Source organism: Homo sapiens, chromosome 16, assembly GCF_000001405.40.
Source record: "Homo sapiens chromosome 16, GRCh38.p14 Primary Assembly".
Classification (NCBI taxonomy): Eukaryota; Metazoa; Chordata; class Mammalia; order Primates; family Hominidae; genus Homo; species Homo sapiens.
In genome coordinates, this window is record NC_000016.10 from 10600057 (window position 1) to 10618970 (window position 18914).

The 18914-nt window shown below is 49.3% G+C and overlaps 1 annotated feature.

Moving 5' to 3' along the window:
- Positions 1-90: an enhancer, noted in NCBI's record as "active region_10383". NCBI's record gives its function as "activates an Ori minimal core promoter by ATAC-STARR-seq in GM12878 lymphoblastoid cells {active_cell/tissue: GM12878}" and the evidence as "EXISTENCE:reporter gene assay evidence [ECO:0000049][PMID:35858748]".

An 18914-nucleotide genomic window follows, 5' to 3' on the forward strand; every position in this document is an offset into this window, starting at 1 on the left:
TTGGCACACACTTATAGCTCTAGCCTTTCAGGAGGCTGAGGATGGGAGGATTGCTTGAGCCCAGGGGGTTGAACTGCAGTGAGCTGAGATTGCACCACTGCACTCCAGCCTGGGCGACAGAATGAGACTCCATCTCAAAACAAACAAACAAAAAAAACCCCGCCACCCTTTCTGGTGGGTGGCCCATGGTCCCCTCCTGTGGCCAGGTAAGTACAGGCAAATGCAGCAAGGTTACTGCACCCAGTCTCCCCAACAAAGGCGTGACCCACCTTCTGAGGCTCTTAAAAAGACAGCTTTGCCCACTCACTCCCTTCCTTTATTCAAAAGTCCCAGAGACTTTCCCTGACCCCAGTCCACACGTGATATACTGCACCCCACCAAGCCCACCTTCCTTGATCCCTTTTTGCATCATCCTGTTGTATTTCCCCACAGCGCCACCTGAAATCATCTGCTTCATTTACTCATGTGTTCATTGTCTGCACTCACCCCCAACCCATAGCCACAAGAACCCAAACCCAGAAAGACAGGGACCTTGTCCATCTGGAGCCTAACGCAGTGCACCAGCCAGATCTGTGGGACTAGTGAGGGGGCAGCAGGGAGAGGGTTGGGTTGAGAGGGAGGGGAGGGGCCCGGGGCAAAGAGTTGACCCTGAGCCAGCTGCCTTATGCATCCCACCCCAGGATCCTGGGATCCGCTGAAGGATTCCTGGGTCCTCCAGACTTCAGCCAGGCTGTGCGCACTCCGTGCCTTTCAGAGAAGCCCTGGCAGGTCCCCTGGAAGTTCCTGGAGGGTCTGAGCTCAGAGACATGGAGGGAAGGAGGTGAGGCAGGGTGATCCCGACAGCTGCCAGGAGAAACTCCCTGCTCTCTTCCCGCAGGTCCCTTAGCTCAGTGTTTTTCAAATGATTTGTGGTGAAGGACCAGTCTGTGCATCTGTTTTCAGTTGCTGATTCATCACACACCAATACTTTCACAATTTACTATAAAAATCCCCCTGTGCCTACATGTCGCAGCAATGGCTAATTGCTATGTAGGTTTCCAAACCCTTACTCTGGGAACTGCACTCAGCTCTTGGGGAACAGATAACTGTTTGTGAACGGCTTGCAGGCCACACTTTGAGCTGTACAGATCTGGATATGCCAAGGCCCAGGATGGGTGGGTGGGTGTTGGCAGCTACAAGGGCCCTGACACCCGCCCAGAGGCTGGGCGTTGGAGGGATGAAGGGCAGCTGGTGAGGCGGGGACCTGACGCGCAAGCCTGTGTCCCCCAGCAGTAAAGAGTCAGGGCTGGGAAGTAGGAAAAGGAATCTCCTCTGTCCTCAAACCACAGGAGACAGGCAGGTAGGAGTGGGGAACTCCTCCAGCTCCGTCCATGCCTCCTGGTCCTTCTCACAGTTCAGGGGAAACTTCTTTGGGGGAGGGAGCAGTTTTGCCCCACTCCGTACTTGTCATCACCATGCCACTTTGGCCCGGAGTCATTAAACTCCTCTCGAGATGTTTGCCTCGTACCTTCTAGTGCAGATTCCAGTCCAGGAGGAATGCGTGCTCATGACATGAAGGCAGTGTCAGAGGACCTTGCAACTCTCTGCACCCAGCCTGGGGACAGCTGGCTTCCATCTGCCAGACGTCAGGCTGTTGACAGGGGTGGGGTGGTGATACCATCCCAGCCCAGCATTCAGGGAGCTGGCATCTCAGATTGCCCCACCCTGCCCCTCCCTGGCCCTCAAGGAGCCGAGAGGAGAGTGACATCGAAACTCCACTCCATCAAGAGTGGGCTGACCCAGCCCCCTCGATATCTGGGTGGGGTCCCAGGAATGCCTCACCCCCGTGTTGCACACAGTAGGCACTTAGAGTATTTGCTAAGCACATGCAGGGTCCTCCTCAGCTGGCCTGGAGGGAGCCCCAGCCCATTGGCCTTCCCCAGGGTCACCTCAGTAGCCTTCAGGCCCTGGCTGCATTGTTCCAATTCCTGCAGGTTTGGAATGTCTCTGTTTACCGTCAATGTCAATATGACTGGGAGAACATCCAGTTCCCACAGGCCTTCTGGGGGCTGGCGGGGGACACAAGGCTGAGAGATGGGAGCAGGCCACACCTGGGCCCCCCAGCTCCCTTCAGGTCCCCTATGTTACAAACCCCAATCCAGGCACATTGTCACTCTGGGTCCTGGAATTGCATAAGCAGATGGGTGGCAGCCAGCAGGAGTTCCACAGGGCCTCATACCTCTACCCACGCCTTCCAGCCCCTCCCTCCTTGCCCTTTTATTTGGCAGGATATGGGGAGCAGTGGCTCCTTCTGCAAGGAGCTGCCCCTCCTCCTATGCCTTTGATCAGAGTCCCTCCACCTCCCACCTCCACCTGTCCAAACCCTCTCCGACTCATAGATCTCAGCTCTGTAACTAGATGGCTTGGATTCAAATCTCCCCTCCACCATTTCTAGCTATGTTGCCTGGGCAAGTTACTCAACCTCTCTGTGACTGTTTTCTCACGGTAGAGTGGCATGTTGGGGGCATTTCTTCAATTTCTGGCTGCCTATCATCTTGGAATCCCCTTTCTGTAACTGGAGATTTCTACATTTGCCCATAGTGTGAGTCTGTACTCATTAATGTAGAAGTCAGAATTCAATTCTCCAACCCGTTTGATCATCAATCGGGTACAATCATACAGGACTTCCATGGAGAGAGAGATCACTAGCTCAAGCACTATCTTTTCTTTGGTGAACATGGTGGCAGGAATAACTGGATCTTTGGGGACATCAATGGCTAAACTCTTGTGTCTGAAGAAGCAGTTGCACATTTGCTAAAGCATCCCCCGTAGAGTGGTTGGGTGTTCTCTCTCGCTACCTACCACCCAGACCCAGTTTTCTGTCTCCTCACCCTGAATGCAAAGAGCTGCCTACTCTTAAAAAGCCTTTGCTGCTTAAATTAGCTAAAATTCTGTTATTTGCAACCAAGACCCTTAACAAAGTCATAGGGACAATAATAATATCTGCCTCGTGATGGTGTTGTGAAGATCAAACCCTCCTACAGGCTTGGTGGGAAGTCAAGAGGAAGCCAGCCCAGCTCTTTGAATATCTTCCTTGTATCTGGGGTGCCCCGCTTTATGGTTTGGGGACGGTGTCCTCTGCCTGTGTCCCAGAACACAGCCTCACTTGCAGGCAAGTTGCTTTTCTGAGCCTTCCCTCTCCTTTAAGAAGCACGAGAACCCCAGGGTTGCACGAGGTCCCAGGGTCAGTCACTCACCTCCCCGAAATAAAACCAGGACATCTGACCCATATGTCAAAGAGCTCCATTCTCTGAGTGCAGGATCTGAAACAAGACCTGTTTGCTACAGGAGATGCTATGGCAGCCGGGGCTCTGCAGCTGGGAGCAGCCCCTTTCCCCTTGGGAAGTTCAGTGGAGACCGAGAAGCATTGAGGCTCCTAACACAGGGACACATCCCCAGTCCCAGAAATACCTCACTGGAGTAGACCTGGGATTTCTAGGTCCCTGCTAGTTAGTGACACAGCCAGATCTTGCATGTGGCTCTTATATTCTTGGCCACTTCCCTGGGGCAGCCATGGTGAGCTTGACCGGGCGGATCTTAGAATCCACTGCCTTGCAACCCCAGAACTGACATCTTCCCTTAGTATCCCAACTTTCTGTATACGGAGACATGCCCCCACACAGCCACTCTGGGGCATGTCTGGCCTCCCAGGCATCCTGAGAGTGACCCATCAGTCACTGAGAGAATCAGTGCCAACCCTTGTCCACTGGTGGTGCCCAAGACATGGCCCGTTTCCATTTGCCTCTTATTCACCACAACGGGTCGCCTTGGAGAAGACCTTCAGTGTCACACTCAAGTAGGTCTCTGTACTTGGTTGAATGGTGTCCTCCCAAAACTCACATATACTTGGAACTTCAGGAAATTACCTTATTTGGAAATAGGGGTCTTTGCAGATACGGTTAGTAATTAAGAAGAAGTCATACTGGATTAAGGTGGGCCCCAATCCAATGATTAGTGTCCTTATAAGACAAGGGAAATTTGGACACAAACACACAGGAGAGAAGACCTCGTGACGATGGAGGCAGAGGTTGGAGGGATGCAGCTATAAGCCAAGGATTGCTGGCAAACGCCAGGAGCTGGGATCAGATTCTCCCCCAGCCCTTCCTGCAGGAACCAGCCCTGCCAACACCTTGATGTTGGACTACCGGCCTCCGAACAGTGAGAGGACGCATATTGGTTGTTTTAAGCCTCCTAGGTTGTGGTAACTGGTTACAGCAGCCCCGGGAGATGAATGCAGTTTCCTTTTAATTAATCTTGTTATGAACAGCAAAGACAGGATTGTGGGAAGGAGTGCCAGTGATACTTTTCAGACTTGGGTTCTGTAGGCAAATAAAGATGAATTGCCCATCTTTTCCTCGCTGTGATGTTTAATTGTAATTTAAACATAATTGTAACTGTGATGTGTAATTTAAAGGTGGCGACAACCGGTCGTGGTGGCTCATGCCTGAAATTCCAGCATTTTGGGAAGCTGAGGCGGGTGGATCACTTGAGGTCAGGAGTTTGAGAACACCCTGGCCAACATGATGAAACCCCGTCTCCACTAAAAATACAAAAATTAGCCAGGCATGGTGGCATGTGCCTGTAATCCCAGCTACTCTGGAGGCTGAGGTGGGAGAATTGCTTGAATCCGGGAGGCAGAGGTTGCAGTGAGCTGAGATTGCGCCACTGCACTCTAGCCTTGGCAACAGAGCAAGACACCATCTCAAAAAAAAAAAAAAAAAAGAAAAAAAAAGAAAGAAAAAGAAAAACAAGGTGATGAGGATTTCAGTTAGGAAATTTTGCGCAAGGAGCTCATGGGCCTTTGGCAAAGGAAGCAATTGAGACACTGTCCCCAATCTATGGGTCAGGGATTGTCCAAACCCTTCCCAACCAATAGATGTCAACTCTGTATCCAGGCAGCTTGGATTCAAATCTTACCTCCACCATTTCTAGCTGTGTTGCTTGGGCAAGTTACTCAACCTCTCTGTGCCTACGTTTTCTCACCTGTAGAGTGGTGTGCTGGGGGCCTTTCTCCTATTTCTGCCTGCCCATCATCTCTGAACCACCTTTCTTTAACTGGAGATTTCTCCATTTGCCCATACTGTGAGTCTGTACTCATTAATGTAGAAGTGAGCTCAATAGAAATACAGTAAGAGGCCGGTGGCTCACGCCTGTAATCCCAGCACTTTGGGAGGCTGAGGCAGGTGGATCACCTGAGGTCAGGAATTCGAGACCAGCCTGGCCAACATGGTGAAACCCCATCTCTACTAAAAATAAGGCTGGGTGCGGTGGCTCACGCCTGTAATCCCAGCACTTTGGGAGGCCGAGATGGGTGGATCATGAGGTCAGGAGATCGAGACCATCCTGGCTAACACGGTGAAACCCCGTCTCTACTAAAAATAAGAAAATTAGCTGGGCGTGGTAGCATGCACCTGTAGTCCCAGCTACTCGGTAGCTGAGGCAGGAGAATCGCTTGAACCCGGGAGGCTGAGGTTGCGGTGAGCTGAGATTGCGCCATTGCACTCCAGCCTGGGTGACAGAGTGAAACTCTAATGTCTCAAAAAAAAAACCAAAAACAAAAACAAAAAAAAACTCAATTTATTTTAATGTATTAATTTTTCCAGAAACAGGGTCCTGCTCCCTGCTCTGTAACCCAGGCTGGAGTGCAGTGGTGCAATCACAGCTCACTGCAGCCTCAAACCCCCGGGCTCAAGTGATACTCCCACCTCAGCCTCTCAAGTAGCTGCAACTACAGGTGCACGCCACCATGACTAGCTAATTTTTTGTAGAGATGGAGTCTTGCTGTGTTGCCCAGGCTGGCCTCAAACTCCTGACCTCAAGCGAATCCTCCCTCTGCAGCCTCCCAATGGACTGGGATTACAGATGTGAGAAACAATTCCCTACCCAAATATCTCAATTTAAACAGTAGCATCTAATTTTTAAGCTTTGTGTGGAAAAACTGAAGATGCCAGTTTGCACTAATTTTTATGAAACAACTGGCCAAAAACTGATGGTGTAACTATCTCCAAGCTGTAGATAGATTTCATCTTCTATCTCAGCAAAAGACTCCCATTATCCTTTATTTGAGTAGTTCAACCAGTGACTTTCGGAAAGCGGCTTAGCGGCTTCATGCCTCAGTTTCTGCATTTGTAAAAGAGAGATAATAGTTCCTACTGCACAGGGTTGCTATGAAGATTAAATGAATTACTTTTGTAACTCACTTATACAAAATAAGTGCTCAGTATGTATTGGCTGTTATTATTATTATTGTTAGCCAAAGCAGCTTAAAGGGGGGAAGTTCTGTGTTACAGGATGTTCTCAATTTAGCCCACTCTGAGCCTCCTGCAGGCTTCCTACTGCATTCTTGGGTTCTCTCCCTGCCTATGGAGACTCAGCCAGAGGAGACCCTTCCTCCTGACCCACCCCCACCAGTAAGTGGGGGTCCCAAGAAGGCACACACAGTCTTTGTAAAGACAGAGATTACATACTGGTTTTGGTGTGTTTGGGACGTAGCCTCCTGAGCACCGTGCCTCCAAATCATGTTTGCGAAGTGATTGTTCAAGACCAATGGTTGGGAAGCTGAATGGCTCAGGATCTTGGCTGAACAACAGATGAGAGAGGGCCCCCGGCTTCCCAGAGGAAGGCGAAGAAAGGGATGTGAGTGAATTAGCAGCATGGCAGGGAAGAGAGAGCAAGCGGGTAATAGCTTGGGCTCTGGCAGCTAACCCACCCACCGGGGGCAACCCCCACACTGCATCACAAAGCTCCTGCTCACGATAAATCCCCAGGCTGCACTCCCATGCTTGACAGCATCCCTAGCTCCTAAGCACATTCCTTAGCATTCAAGACCTTCCTGGTTTCCCCTGCTGGCTGCCACCTTCTTCCCAGCTTTGAACTTGATGCTGCCTGGAGCCCCTTTCACAGAACACACTCTCTCATGCCCATCACCTATTCCTTCTGCTCAGAAAGCTCTCTCGCCTTGCTGGATTCCTGTCCTCCTATGAAACTGCCTCCAGGAAGCCTCCTGACTCCTCAGTGGGGTCATGCTCTTCCAGGATGAGGAGGACATTTCTGTTCACTTAACCATTTCCCTCATCGAGGCTGGCAGCACCACAAAAGGGCAGAGAGGGGTCTGAGCCCCCAGCTGCATACTATGAGGTGGACCTGGGAACCCTGAGGAGGACCCCTTAACCTTAGGTCCTCCCCTGCCCCCCCACTCAAACTTTATTTTTACCAAAGATCATCTAAGGATCTCTATTGTACGCCCACCCAGTTCTGCAAGGGGTGCGGGGGAAGGAGGAGGCTCTCCCTACCTTAGGGAGGTATTATGGGGTGAATTATATCACTCCCAAGATGCATATGCTGAAGTCCTGACCCCAGTAACTCAGAATGTGACTGTATTTGGAGATAGTGTCTTTAAAGAGGTAAGTTAAAGTAAGGCCACTCAAGTGGGCTGTAACCCAATATGACCAGTGTCCTTATGAGAAGAGGAAATCTGGACACAGACATGTACAAGGGGAAGACAATGTATAGACACAGGGAGAAGAAGGCCATCAACTAGCTAAGGAGAGAAGGAACCATCCCTGCTGACACCTTGATCTTGGACTTCTGGCCTCCAGAACTGTGAGAAAATACATTTCTGTGGTTTAAGCCAGGGTCTCCAACTCCCCAGGGAACCAGTTAGGAACTGGGCCACACAGCAGGAGGTGAGTGATGGGCAGGCAAGCAAAGCTTCATCTGTATTTACAGCCACTCCTCATCACTTCCATTACCACCTGAGCTCCACCTCCTGTCAGATCAGCAGCAGCATTAAATTCTTATAGGAGCTGGCCGGGCCTGGTGGCTCACACCTGTAATCCCAGCACTTTGGGAGGTCAAGGCAGGCAGATCACCTGAGGTCAGGAGTTAAAGGCCAGCCTGACGAACACAGCAAAACCCCGTCTCTATTAAAAATACAAAAATTAGCTGGGAGTGGTGGTGGGTGCCTGTAATTCCAGCTACTTGGGAGGCTGAGGTGGGAGAATCACTTGAACCTGGGAGGTGGAGATTATAGTGAGCCGAGATCACCCACTGCACTCCAGTCTGGGTGACAGAGCAAGACTCTGTCTCAAAAAAATAAAAATAAAAAATAAAAAATAAAAAAAATTATTATCAGAGCGTGAACCCTACTGTAAACCACACATTTGAGGGATCTAGGTTGCGTGCTCCTTATGAGAATCCAATGCCTGATGATCTGTCACTGTCCCCCATCGCCCCCAGATGGGACCATCTAGTTGCAGGAAAACAAGCTCAGGGCTCGCATTAATTCTACCTTATGGTGAGTTGTATAATTACGTCACTATATATTACAATGTAATGATAATAGAAATAAGGTGCACGATAAACGGAATGCACTCGAATCATCCCCAAACCGTCCCCCAACCCCCATCTGTGGAAAAATTGCCTCCATGAAACCAGTTCCTGGTACCAAAAAGGTTGAGGACCACTGGTTTAAGCCACCCAGTCTGAGGTGCTGTGTTATGGCAGCCATAGCAAACTTACATAAGGAATTGATAGTTCTTCATTTCTGCCTTCATAAAACAGAGATAATAATGGTCTCTACCTCATAAAGTGGTCGGGAAGACTGAATAAGTCAAATGCACATAAAACAGAGCTGCAATTGACAAATACTAGCTGCAGATATTGTTATTGCTGTCATCATCTTCATTCATCTGGTTGGGACAGATAAACTTAGCAACGAGAAATAAGAGAATGCCACAGACGAGAGCTATGAGGAGCTGATATTGATGCATCAAACAATCCTAGGATTTCAGAGCTGGGAAGCCCACTTGGTGTCCCCCTCCCTTGTCTGATGAATGAGCAGAAGAGAAGGGACTTTCTCAAAGTCTCACTGTAAAGGGGGAACACCAGGGCCAGAATAGAGCTTCCAGGCTCCGAGCCTTGGCCACACCATCATGCCGCTCGTGGGTTTCTATTATTAACCAAAATGCATGCTGGTTCTCGGTTGCACAGCTTGCATCAGGGCCTGGTCAGCCCACTCTTGGGGTGCTGGCTTGATCCTTGCTTGATGAGACAAAGATTGCAAGGAGGAAACAGTCTGGCCAGCAGGGAGTGGGAAGTAGCGTTTCCAGCTTTGCATCTGCTACGCTACTTACTCTAAAGGGCCTCTCCACACCCAGGCAGCCAAGAGCTTCCCTCGTGTGGGAGCTCTGCCCAGGACGTGCAGCTGAGCAGAGAGCCATGAGGGGTCCTCCCTCTGCACACTATCTGGGAGCAGGAGAAAATGGGGGCCTCATGGAGCTGACCCTGGAGCTGGGCTAAGCCACAAGGGCACAGAAGGCAGGCAGGGTCCGGTTCTCATTCTGCCAATCCTTGCCCCCTGAACCAACAGTAGTTCATGCTGGATTATTGTTAAGAAGAGATGACTCCTGCTGTGTGGAATGAGAGCTGCTTTCTAGGCCACTTCCAGGAAGACGATGAGCTGCTCTCTAGCTATGCACTTAGCTGTAGTCCCAGAAGCCCCTACACATCGAGGAGACCCAGGAGCTGAAGAAATCTACGGGTTCTCAACTCTGATGTCATCACGTGCTGTCCCTACTTCCCAATCATCCAACCTCGGCTTGAAACGCTCTCAGGACAGGGAACTCACTACTCCACAAACCATTCTATCCCATTGTAACAGAGGTTTTAATCAGTGCTACCCAACAGAAATATAATGTAAACATGTTAACATTACTTTTTAAAGTATATTTAAAAAGTAAAAAGAAACAAGTCAAATTAATTTTAATATTTTCTTTTTCCCAATAGATCTAAAATACGATCATTTCAACATGTATTCAATATTCAGAAATTTAGGCCAGGCACGGTGGCTTACACCTGTCATCTGAGCACTTTGGGAGGCCAAGATGAGGGGATCACCTGAGGTCAGGAGTTCGAGACCAGCCTGACCAATGTTGTGAAACCCTATCTTTACTAAAGATACAAAAATTAGCTGGGCGTGGTAGCATATGCCTGTAATCCCAGCTACTCAGGATGCTGAGGCAGGAGAATTGCTTGAACGTGGGGGGTGGAGGTTTCATTGAGCTGAGATCATGCCACTGCACTCCAGCCTGGGTGACAGAGCGAGACTCAGTCTAAAAAAAAAAAGTTAGAAATTTAATGGAATGTTTTACATTGTTTTACATTCATATGTATTGTACTAAATCTTAGAAATCTGGTGTGTATTTTACATGTCACCACTTCTCAATCAGACTAGCTAGATCAGTGCTCAGTGGTCACTTGGGGCTGATGGCTACTGTTTTGGATAGTACAAACGTAAATTATAGTTTTTTCTTGTGTTGAATTAAAATCTAACTCCCTGCTATTTTTACCTGTTGATCTGTCTTTTTGTCCACTGTGCTTAGCAGGCTTAACTCCTTTTCTATATACTAGCTATTTGGTTGTTGTTTGTTTGTTTGTTTTGGTTTTTTTGAGACAGTCTTGCTCTGTCGCCCAGGCTGGATTGCAGTGGTGTGGTCACAGCCCACTACAGCTTCAACCCCCAGGGCTCAAGCGATCCTTCCGCCTCAGCCTCTAGAGTAGCTGGGACAACAGGTATGCACCACCACACCCAGCTAATTTTTGTTTTATTTTGTTTTGTTTAGAGATAGGGTTTTGCTATGTTTCCCAGGCTGGTCTCGAAATCCTGGGCTCAAGCAATCTGTCTGCCTTGGCCTCTCAAAGTGCTAGGATTACAGACGTGAGCCACCACGCCCGGCCCCTGACATTATCTTTTTATTGGAAGGTGTTGCGCTAACCCGTTTCCTTCCATGCTAAATATTCTCCATTCCTTCAACAGTTCTGTGCGTGACATCACTTCTAATCCCTTCCCCCAGATGCTTCTTTTGATCAGTGTTCCTAGGAGTGAACAACGATCTGACTATTTTTCTGTAACTTTGGAGCTCACGTCCTTTGCCCAATTTGAGCATAAGCGGTATTTCCTTTTGTCCTATTGATGTTCAATTCAGTTATTTCTGTAATTAGGAGTATTTACCTTTGTTGCAATGTTGTAAACCTTTTCTCCCAGTCATTGTTGGCCTTTCAACTTTTTCTGTGCTATCTTTGGCTATACAGGTTTCTGTTTTCAGGAAGTCAATCTGCAAATATTTTCCATTTGTAGCTTCTGGACTTTGTGGCATGCTAAGGAAAGTCTTGCCCACTCTCATGTGTATGAAAAAGCATTATCCTGCATTTTCTTTCACTGTGTCCACTTTTTAATACTTCCTTCATCTAACTGGAATTGTTTTGTGATACAAGGAAGGGGTCCAACTTAATTTCCACCCCCTCCAAATGTGTAACCAGTTGTTCTATTTTGTGAATAATCCATTCTTTCCCCACTCATTTACAATGCCATTTAAAATATCAGTTTTAGGGCTGGGCATGGTGGCTCACTCCTGTAATCCCAGTACTTTGGGAGGCCGAGGTGGGCAGATCACCTGAGGTCAGGAGTTCGAGACCAGCCTGGCCAACATGGTGAAACCCCATCTCTACTAAAAATACAATAATTAGTCAGGCATGGCAGCGTGCACCTGTAGTCCCAGCTACTTGGGAGGCTGAGGCAGGAGAATCGCTTGAGCCCCAGGAGGCAGAGGTTGCAGTGAGCCAAAATTGTGTCATTGCACTCCAGCCTGGGTGAGAGAGCCAGACTCCATCTTAAACAAACAAACAAACAAACAACAATTAATTAATTAAAAAATAAATAAATAAAAATAAAAAATCATCTTTAGGGTCTACGTTCTCTTTGTCAGCAGAGAAGCAAGACTCTAGCAGCTCCAGGGTTGCATCTGATCAGCTCAACAAACTCAGCAAAAGGAGATTTCCTCTTCTCTAATGGTCTCAGCAAAAGAGTCCTAGGACTGACTCCCACTGGACAGCCTAGACCAACATAGAACCAATGGGAGAAGAGAATCTGCTGATTGGCCACGTCTGATCCCCCGTCTCCCTCAGGAGCAGAGGGGAAGAATCACTTGAGAAAGGCGGAAGCGTAGATACTCAAGGGGAAATGAGGATGCTGTCGACAGAAAGAACAGATGCTGTTCAATCAAAATGCTGCCTACCACAATGCAGCTGCCCTCTTAGCCTGACACTGGGTGCCCCACAGCCCCAGCTCTGTAGGCATCTGGGGAGTCCAGATTGCCTCTGCCCTATCTAGGCTTCCCTCTCAAAGATCAGCTAGATTTGTGTCTGCCCCAAAAATGCAGATCTGAGGCTGGGCATGGTGGCTCACACCTGTAATCCCAGCACTTTGAGAGGCCAAGGTGGGCAGATCACTGGAGGTCAGGAGTTTGAGATCAGCCTGGCCAACGTGGCAAAACCCCATCTCCACTAAAAACACGAAAATTAGCCGGGTATGGTGACGTGTGCCTTTAATCCCAGCTACTCAGGAGGCTGAGGCAGGAGAATTGTTTGAACCCAGGGTTGCAGGTTGCAGTGAGCCAAGATTGTGCCACTGCACTCCAGCCTGGGCGACAGAGTGAGACTCTGTTTCAAAAAAAAAAAGAAAAAGAAAAAGAAAAAAAAGAAAAGAAAAAAGAAATTCAGGTCGGATTCCAGATGCCTTTTCAGGGGGATCCCACTAGCCTAGAAAATCAGCCCAGCGAGGTTGGGTAGGACACTCATGCCCGCTCCTGCCCCAGGACCTTGTCCACATTGCTTCTCTCTGCCAAAAAGAGCAGAGTTCAGGAAGGCCAGGAGGAAGGAAGGATGCCAGCAGCATGTGGATGCTGTTTACAAACAGAAAGTGATTCCTTTCTGCCCATCTCCAGGAGCGGTGCTGCCTTGCTCAGCTACTGCAGGGAGGGTCCCTGGAATGCCCCTTCTGGCCTCTTGCCAAAGACCCACAGCCAATCCCTGGGTCACCAGGGGACAGCCTGAGAATCCAGAGATCAGACTTTCTAGAGAAGGGTTTGCAGGCCAGACTGCAGACCCAGAGTGTTGACCTGAGAGAACAGATGGCTATGTTTCTACACGGGGATGCCCCAGCCCTTGATGCCTCATGCCACAAGGTGGGCACGGTGAGCCCCTCCCTCTCACTCTTGAGCCCTCAGGACATCAGGATGTGATTTGGGAGGAGTCAGTGGATGAGGTCAGAACCCCAATTTTTTTGGTTGAGCCCTCAGGACCTCAGGATGTGATTTGGGAGGAGTCAGTGGATGAGGTCAGAACCTCAATTTTTTTGGTTGCCCCCTCCATCTCCATCAGCCCCTACAAAGGCCCCATAATAATAATATGCTAAGCAGAACAATACTAAGTGAAAACGCCATAGAAAATGGAAATTAAAACTCTCTTTAGGCCAGGTGCAGTGGCTCATGCCTGTAATCCCAGCACTTTGGGACGCCGAGGTGGGCAGATCACGTGAGGTGAGGAGTTTGAGACCAGCCTGGCCAACTTGGTGAAACACCATACCTACAATAATAATAATAATAATAATAATAATAATAATAATAATTAGCTGGGTATGGTGGCAGGTGTCTGTAATCCCAGCTACTCAGGAGGCTGAGGCAGGAAAATTGCTTGAACCTGGGAGGTGGAGGTTGCAGTGAGCAGAGACTGCGCCACTGCGCTCCAGCCTGGGTGACAGAGTGAGACTCTGCCTCAAAATAAAAACGGCAGAGGAATAAAAACTCTCTTTAGTAAAGTTTGCTGTGTTGGAAGACAGGTAGCACTTCAACTAAACAAAAGCAGGCTGCTTGCCTGCAGTGTGAGGGATGCCTGAGTTCAAAGCTTAGCCCTGCCACTCGCTGACTGTGACCCAGTGACTTGCAGAAACTTCCTGTGGCTCCATAGACCCCTGTGACATGAGGCTGAGGACTGTCTCTACCTTGTAAGATTGTTGTGAGGATTCAAGACATGAGTAACTGCAGTAAACCAACAATAACAGGAACAATGTGTTAGGTGGTTATGGTTGATGACAGCGTTTGCAGAAGTGAAATGAATGGCAGCAACATTATAAAGGAGGGGAGGGAGGAATTGCAGATACTCAGTGAAGCCCTAGAGCGTTATTTGAAAGTGAACTCAGGGGCTAGGTGCGGTGGCTCATACCTGTAATCCCAGCACTTTGGGAGGCTGAGGCAGGAGGATCACTTGAGGTCAGGAGTTCAAGACCAGCCTGGCCAACAGGGTAAAACCCAGTTTCTACTAAAATTACAAAAATTAGCTGGGTGTGGTGGCGAGCACCTGTAATCCTGCTACTCCTCCTGCGGGAGGCTGAGGTGGGAGGATCACTTGAACCCCAGAGGCAGAGGTTGCAGTGAGCTGAGATTGTGCCACTGCACTCCAGCCTGGAAAAAAAAAAAAAAAAACCCACAAAACAAAACAAACAAGAAAGTGGACTCAGATTACTTGTAAATGTATATTACAAAACCTCTAGGTCAACCACCAAAAAGTTGCTTAAAAGAAGTATAATTGATATGCTAAGAAAGGAGAGAATATGGAATCACATAAAACACTCAAAACCAGAGAAGGTAGAAAAAGAGAAGATTTTTTAAAAGTAAAAACAAGTGTACTGAATGCAAAGTAGTTACAAATGTGGTAGGTATTAATCCAACTACATCAACAATCACTTTAAATGTGAATGGTCTAAATACACCAATTAAAGACAGAGACCTCAGAATGGATTAGAAAAATCAAGACCTAACTATGTGTTGTCCACAAGAAACCCACTTTAAATACAAACAGGAGTGCTAGCAGAGGGTGAAGGGTGGTGGAGCCAAACTGCCCAGGATTTATTGGGCCACTTCTTTAACTCCTTTCCTCCTTCCTTCTTTCCTTCTTTCCTTCTTTCCTTCCTTCCTTCCTTCCCTCCTTCCTTCCTTCCTCCTTCCATCCCTCCCTCCCTCCTTCCCTCCCTTCCTTCCTTCCTCCCTCCCTTCCTCCCTTCCTCTCTTTCTTTCTTTTTTTGAGGCAGTGTCTTGCTTTGTCACCCAAGGCTGGAGTGCAGCAGTGCAATCACAGCTCACTGCAACCTTGGCCTCCTGGGCTCAAGCAGTCGTTCTGCCTCAGCCTCCTAAGTAGCTGAGACTACAGGTGCACAGGTGCACGCCATCATGCCTGGATAATTTTTTGATTTTTTGTAGAGACAGGGTCTCACTCTGCTGTCCAGGCTGGTCTCAAACTCCTGGACTCGAGTAATCCTCCCATCTCAGTCTCCCAAAGTGCTGAGATTACAGGCATGAAACACCACACCTGGCCACTTCTTTAGTTTTAATAAGCCTCAGTTTCCTTTTCTATAAAATCGGAATAGTAGTAGTTCTGATGAAAAATAGTATAATTGATATGCTAAGGAAGGAGATTAAATGGGCTAACTCATATAAAGCATTTATTTATTTGAGAAGGAATCTCACTCTGTTGCCCAGGCTGGAGTGCAGTGGCACAATCTCGGCTCACTGCAACCTCCACCTCCTGGATTCAAGCGATTCTCCTGCCTCAGCCTCAGAGTAGCTGGGATTATGGGCACCCACCACCACATCTGGCTAATTTTTGTATTTTTAGTAGAGATGGGGTTTTTCACCATGTTGGCCAAGCTGGTCTCTAACTCTTGACCTCAAGTATCTGCCCCCCTCAGCCTCCCATAGTGCTGGGATTACAGGTTTGAGCCACCGCAGCTGGCCCCACATAAAGCATTTAGAAGAGTGACTGGTACCTAATAAGTGCTATAAGAATATGCTGCTTTTGTTATTGTTATCATTATTATCCAAGTGCAGCTTCAGAATAAATTGCCTAGATCTCACTCCTAATGAGCCTTTTACTTCAAAGCTTCTCCTAAATAGGAATTTTAGAGCCACTAATTTTTCCTTGAGGTTTTGTTTTGTTTTTTAAGACGGAGTCTCACTCTGTCACCCAGGTGGGAGTGCAGTGGCGCGATCTCGACTCACTGCAACCTCCAACTCCCGGGTTCAAGTGATTCTCCTGTCTCAGCCTCCCAAGTAGCTGGGACAACAGGTGCATGCCACCACGCCCAGCTAACTTTTGTATTGTTAGTGGAGACAGGGTTTTACCATATCGGTCAGTCTGGTTTCGAACTCCTGACCTCAGGTGATCCACCTGCCTTGACCTCCCAAAGTGCTGGGATTACTGGTGTGAGCCACTGCACCCGGCCCCTTGTGTTTTAAGACCAGGATCGGCTACATAATTTTCAGGGCTCAGCGCAAAATGAAAACACAGAGTTCCTTGTTCAATATTACAAGGAATTTTAAGATGGCACTTCTGTGTGATTGTACAGGTGAATGTCCATGAAGCCAGCCGTAAATAAGACCATAGATTAAGAGAGCAAAGTCAGAATCCAAGATGCCACCTACCCAGTCTGTTCCACCCTACCTGAGTCAGGAGGGCTGTGACCTCCTGGCTGTGAACACATCTCACCTCTCTGCCCCCAGGGAATCCCAGCCAAGGCGCACATTTTGAGAAAAAAAAAAAAAAAAAGAACTTCAGCAAATGCTCTGTGGAGCCCTAATGCTCGCTGTCTTGTGAAATCCTGGATCCAGGATTTCCGGGGAGCTGGGGGCTCCTTTCTGGGCCCCATGTGAGCTGGAGGCCAGTCTTCAAGAAAGGAAGGGCAGAGCTCAGACTGCTTCTGTGAAATGCACTCAGGAGTGGGCTGAGGATTTTTGATTTCCCGGGACGCCTGCTCCAGGGAGCCCGCAGCAGCAGGAGCGAGTCCTGGCCTGTCCAACGCTCTCACCCTTCACCCTCAAGTCACCCAGTTGGCCACACTCTCCTGGGGGGGGCGGAGGTGGAGGTTGGCAGAGTCTTCAGAGCCTTTTATTAAAACTTTTTGGGTGCTTTGTTCACGAGGCCTGGCAAAGTCCAGGGCTCTGGCTTACCCTGGTCTCTCCCTGTCCTGCCCCAAAGGTCACCACTGAGAATCCCAGTCCCTTGTCCTTTGGGGCACTCTCAGAGCTGCCCCTCTGGGGAGGGGGAGCCGATGGGCACAGGCCTCCTGTTAGCGGCAACCTCCGCCTGGGGTGCCTGGCCACACAGGCGATTCCCAGAGAGTGTGGGCGGCAGACAAACAAGCGTTCAGTGTCAGCACAGCCCACCCAGCTCTGAAATGCCTCCTTTCTGTCTCCCGGGGGTGGGGCCTGACAGTAACCCCTGGGCCCAGTGACAGCAGGGGCCACCCACTCCCTAGCGCCCCTACCTCCCACTCCTCCTACTTTGCAGATTCAGCCCTCCCCTCCCATCAAGGGGCAGGGACAAGGCCAGCTCTGCAGGGTGTGGGCCAGTTGGTTTTTGATCTCAAAGATACTGTTCATCCCAGCCTGGGCAGGGCACTGGGAAAGCCTGTGGCTCCTCCCGCCCTCTCTTTCCATTTCCTGCCCCCTCAGGCGCCCTGCCAAGCTAGAAATCCTGAAATGCAGGCTGCAGCCTCTTGTGGGTGCTGGCCTGGCTGCAGGGTAGGAAGCCAAGAGGCAGGAGAGCTGGGGAAAGAGGCTGGCTCCTTCTGCTACCCCCAGTCCCTCCTCCCTTCACCCCTACACTCTCACAGCAGATGGAGGAGCCCCACCACCACACCTGACCTCCAGAGCAGAGGCGATGTTCACAGAACCTGAAATTAACAAATACAGACGGAGAGGGGCTCCGATGGAGAGATTGGCAGGGAGAGAGGAGCTGTTTGAAATCCAGGACATACCGTGGTGAAAGGAATACTTCAATTCCAAGTTTAACACTTGGAGGAACTGGAAGGGGAGGGAAAAGAGAGGAAAGCGGTGCATGGCAGGATCTGGAGAGGGAGAGGGAGCAAGGGAGCAGGTGCAGCTACTAGAATGCATGACCTGAAGTGCAAAATGCTCAAAGCAGTTGCCTAGCAATATCCCGATGCCCAAAAGGCACATCTTCATTGCTGTCATTGTTACCCTGTCCTGTCTGGGTCATCAGTTCCCCAACAGGTGTAACCGATTCTCTGCCTCCACCTGACTTTGGGGAGAGATGCCCTCCCAGCAGGAGGTGGGTCCAGCTACATCAGGGTGGGTACTTGTGTCCTCTTCCCATACTCGCCTCAATCCTGGACCCCATTTGGGTTTTATTAACATCCTGTTCACTCTCTCTCAGCTCTGATTCCCAGCGCCCACATCATCCACCTTGGCATTCTTCTTGTGGGCTAGTCTTGCGTAGGCCGGGTAAGAAGTACAGTATGCTCAGAATTGAATCACAGTTAGTTACTGTGACTAATTTCATTCATTCTATAGCCATCCATCCACTTAATAAAAATGTCTTGAGCCAGATCCCATGCCAGACACTGTGCTGGAGGTGGGGTTGCAACGATAAAGAAATGGTGGTGCCCACTTCCTGGCGCTTAGAACCTAGGGTAGGGGCGTCCCTCTGCTGCCAGCCCGTGGTGGTGGTTCAACATCACCCATCTCCCTCTCTCCGAGCTTCTGACTCTAGGGATAGGAAAGGGTCAAGCAATCTGTATTTTTAAAACATATATATTTCACATGACTCTATTTTCAAGGCAGTTTGGGAAACTACATTCTAAGGAAAGGAAATCTACTGGACTGGGGAAAAAAAGAAGCTGACAGGACCCATCAGCGAGATCCAGTAAGGCTTTCCTGGGAAACTGACTGACAGCTGTGACCTCAAGCACAAGGCTGTGAACTGGGGGAAGAAGGGAGGGACACGGACCAATGTTCAGGGAGGAGGGAACAGCACGCGCGAAGACCCTGATGTGGGAAAGTGCAGCTCGGGGGTAATGGGGAGCTGGAGAAGTGGCAGTGAGTTGAAGCCGCAGATGGGGTGTCCTAGGAGCCCTGGGGAGCCCTGGGAGGGTTTTGTGCAAGAGGCCTGCTGTGATCGTTGTTTTGAAAAGGTTTCTCATTCAGCAGATGCCTGTACTGAGCCATACAGGCCCCGTGACAGGT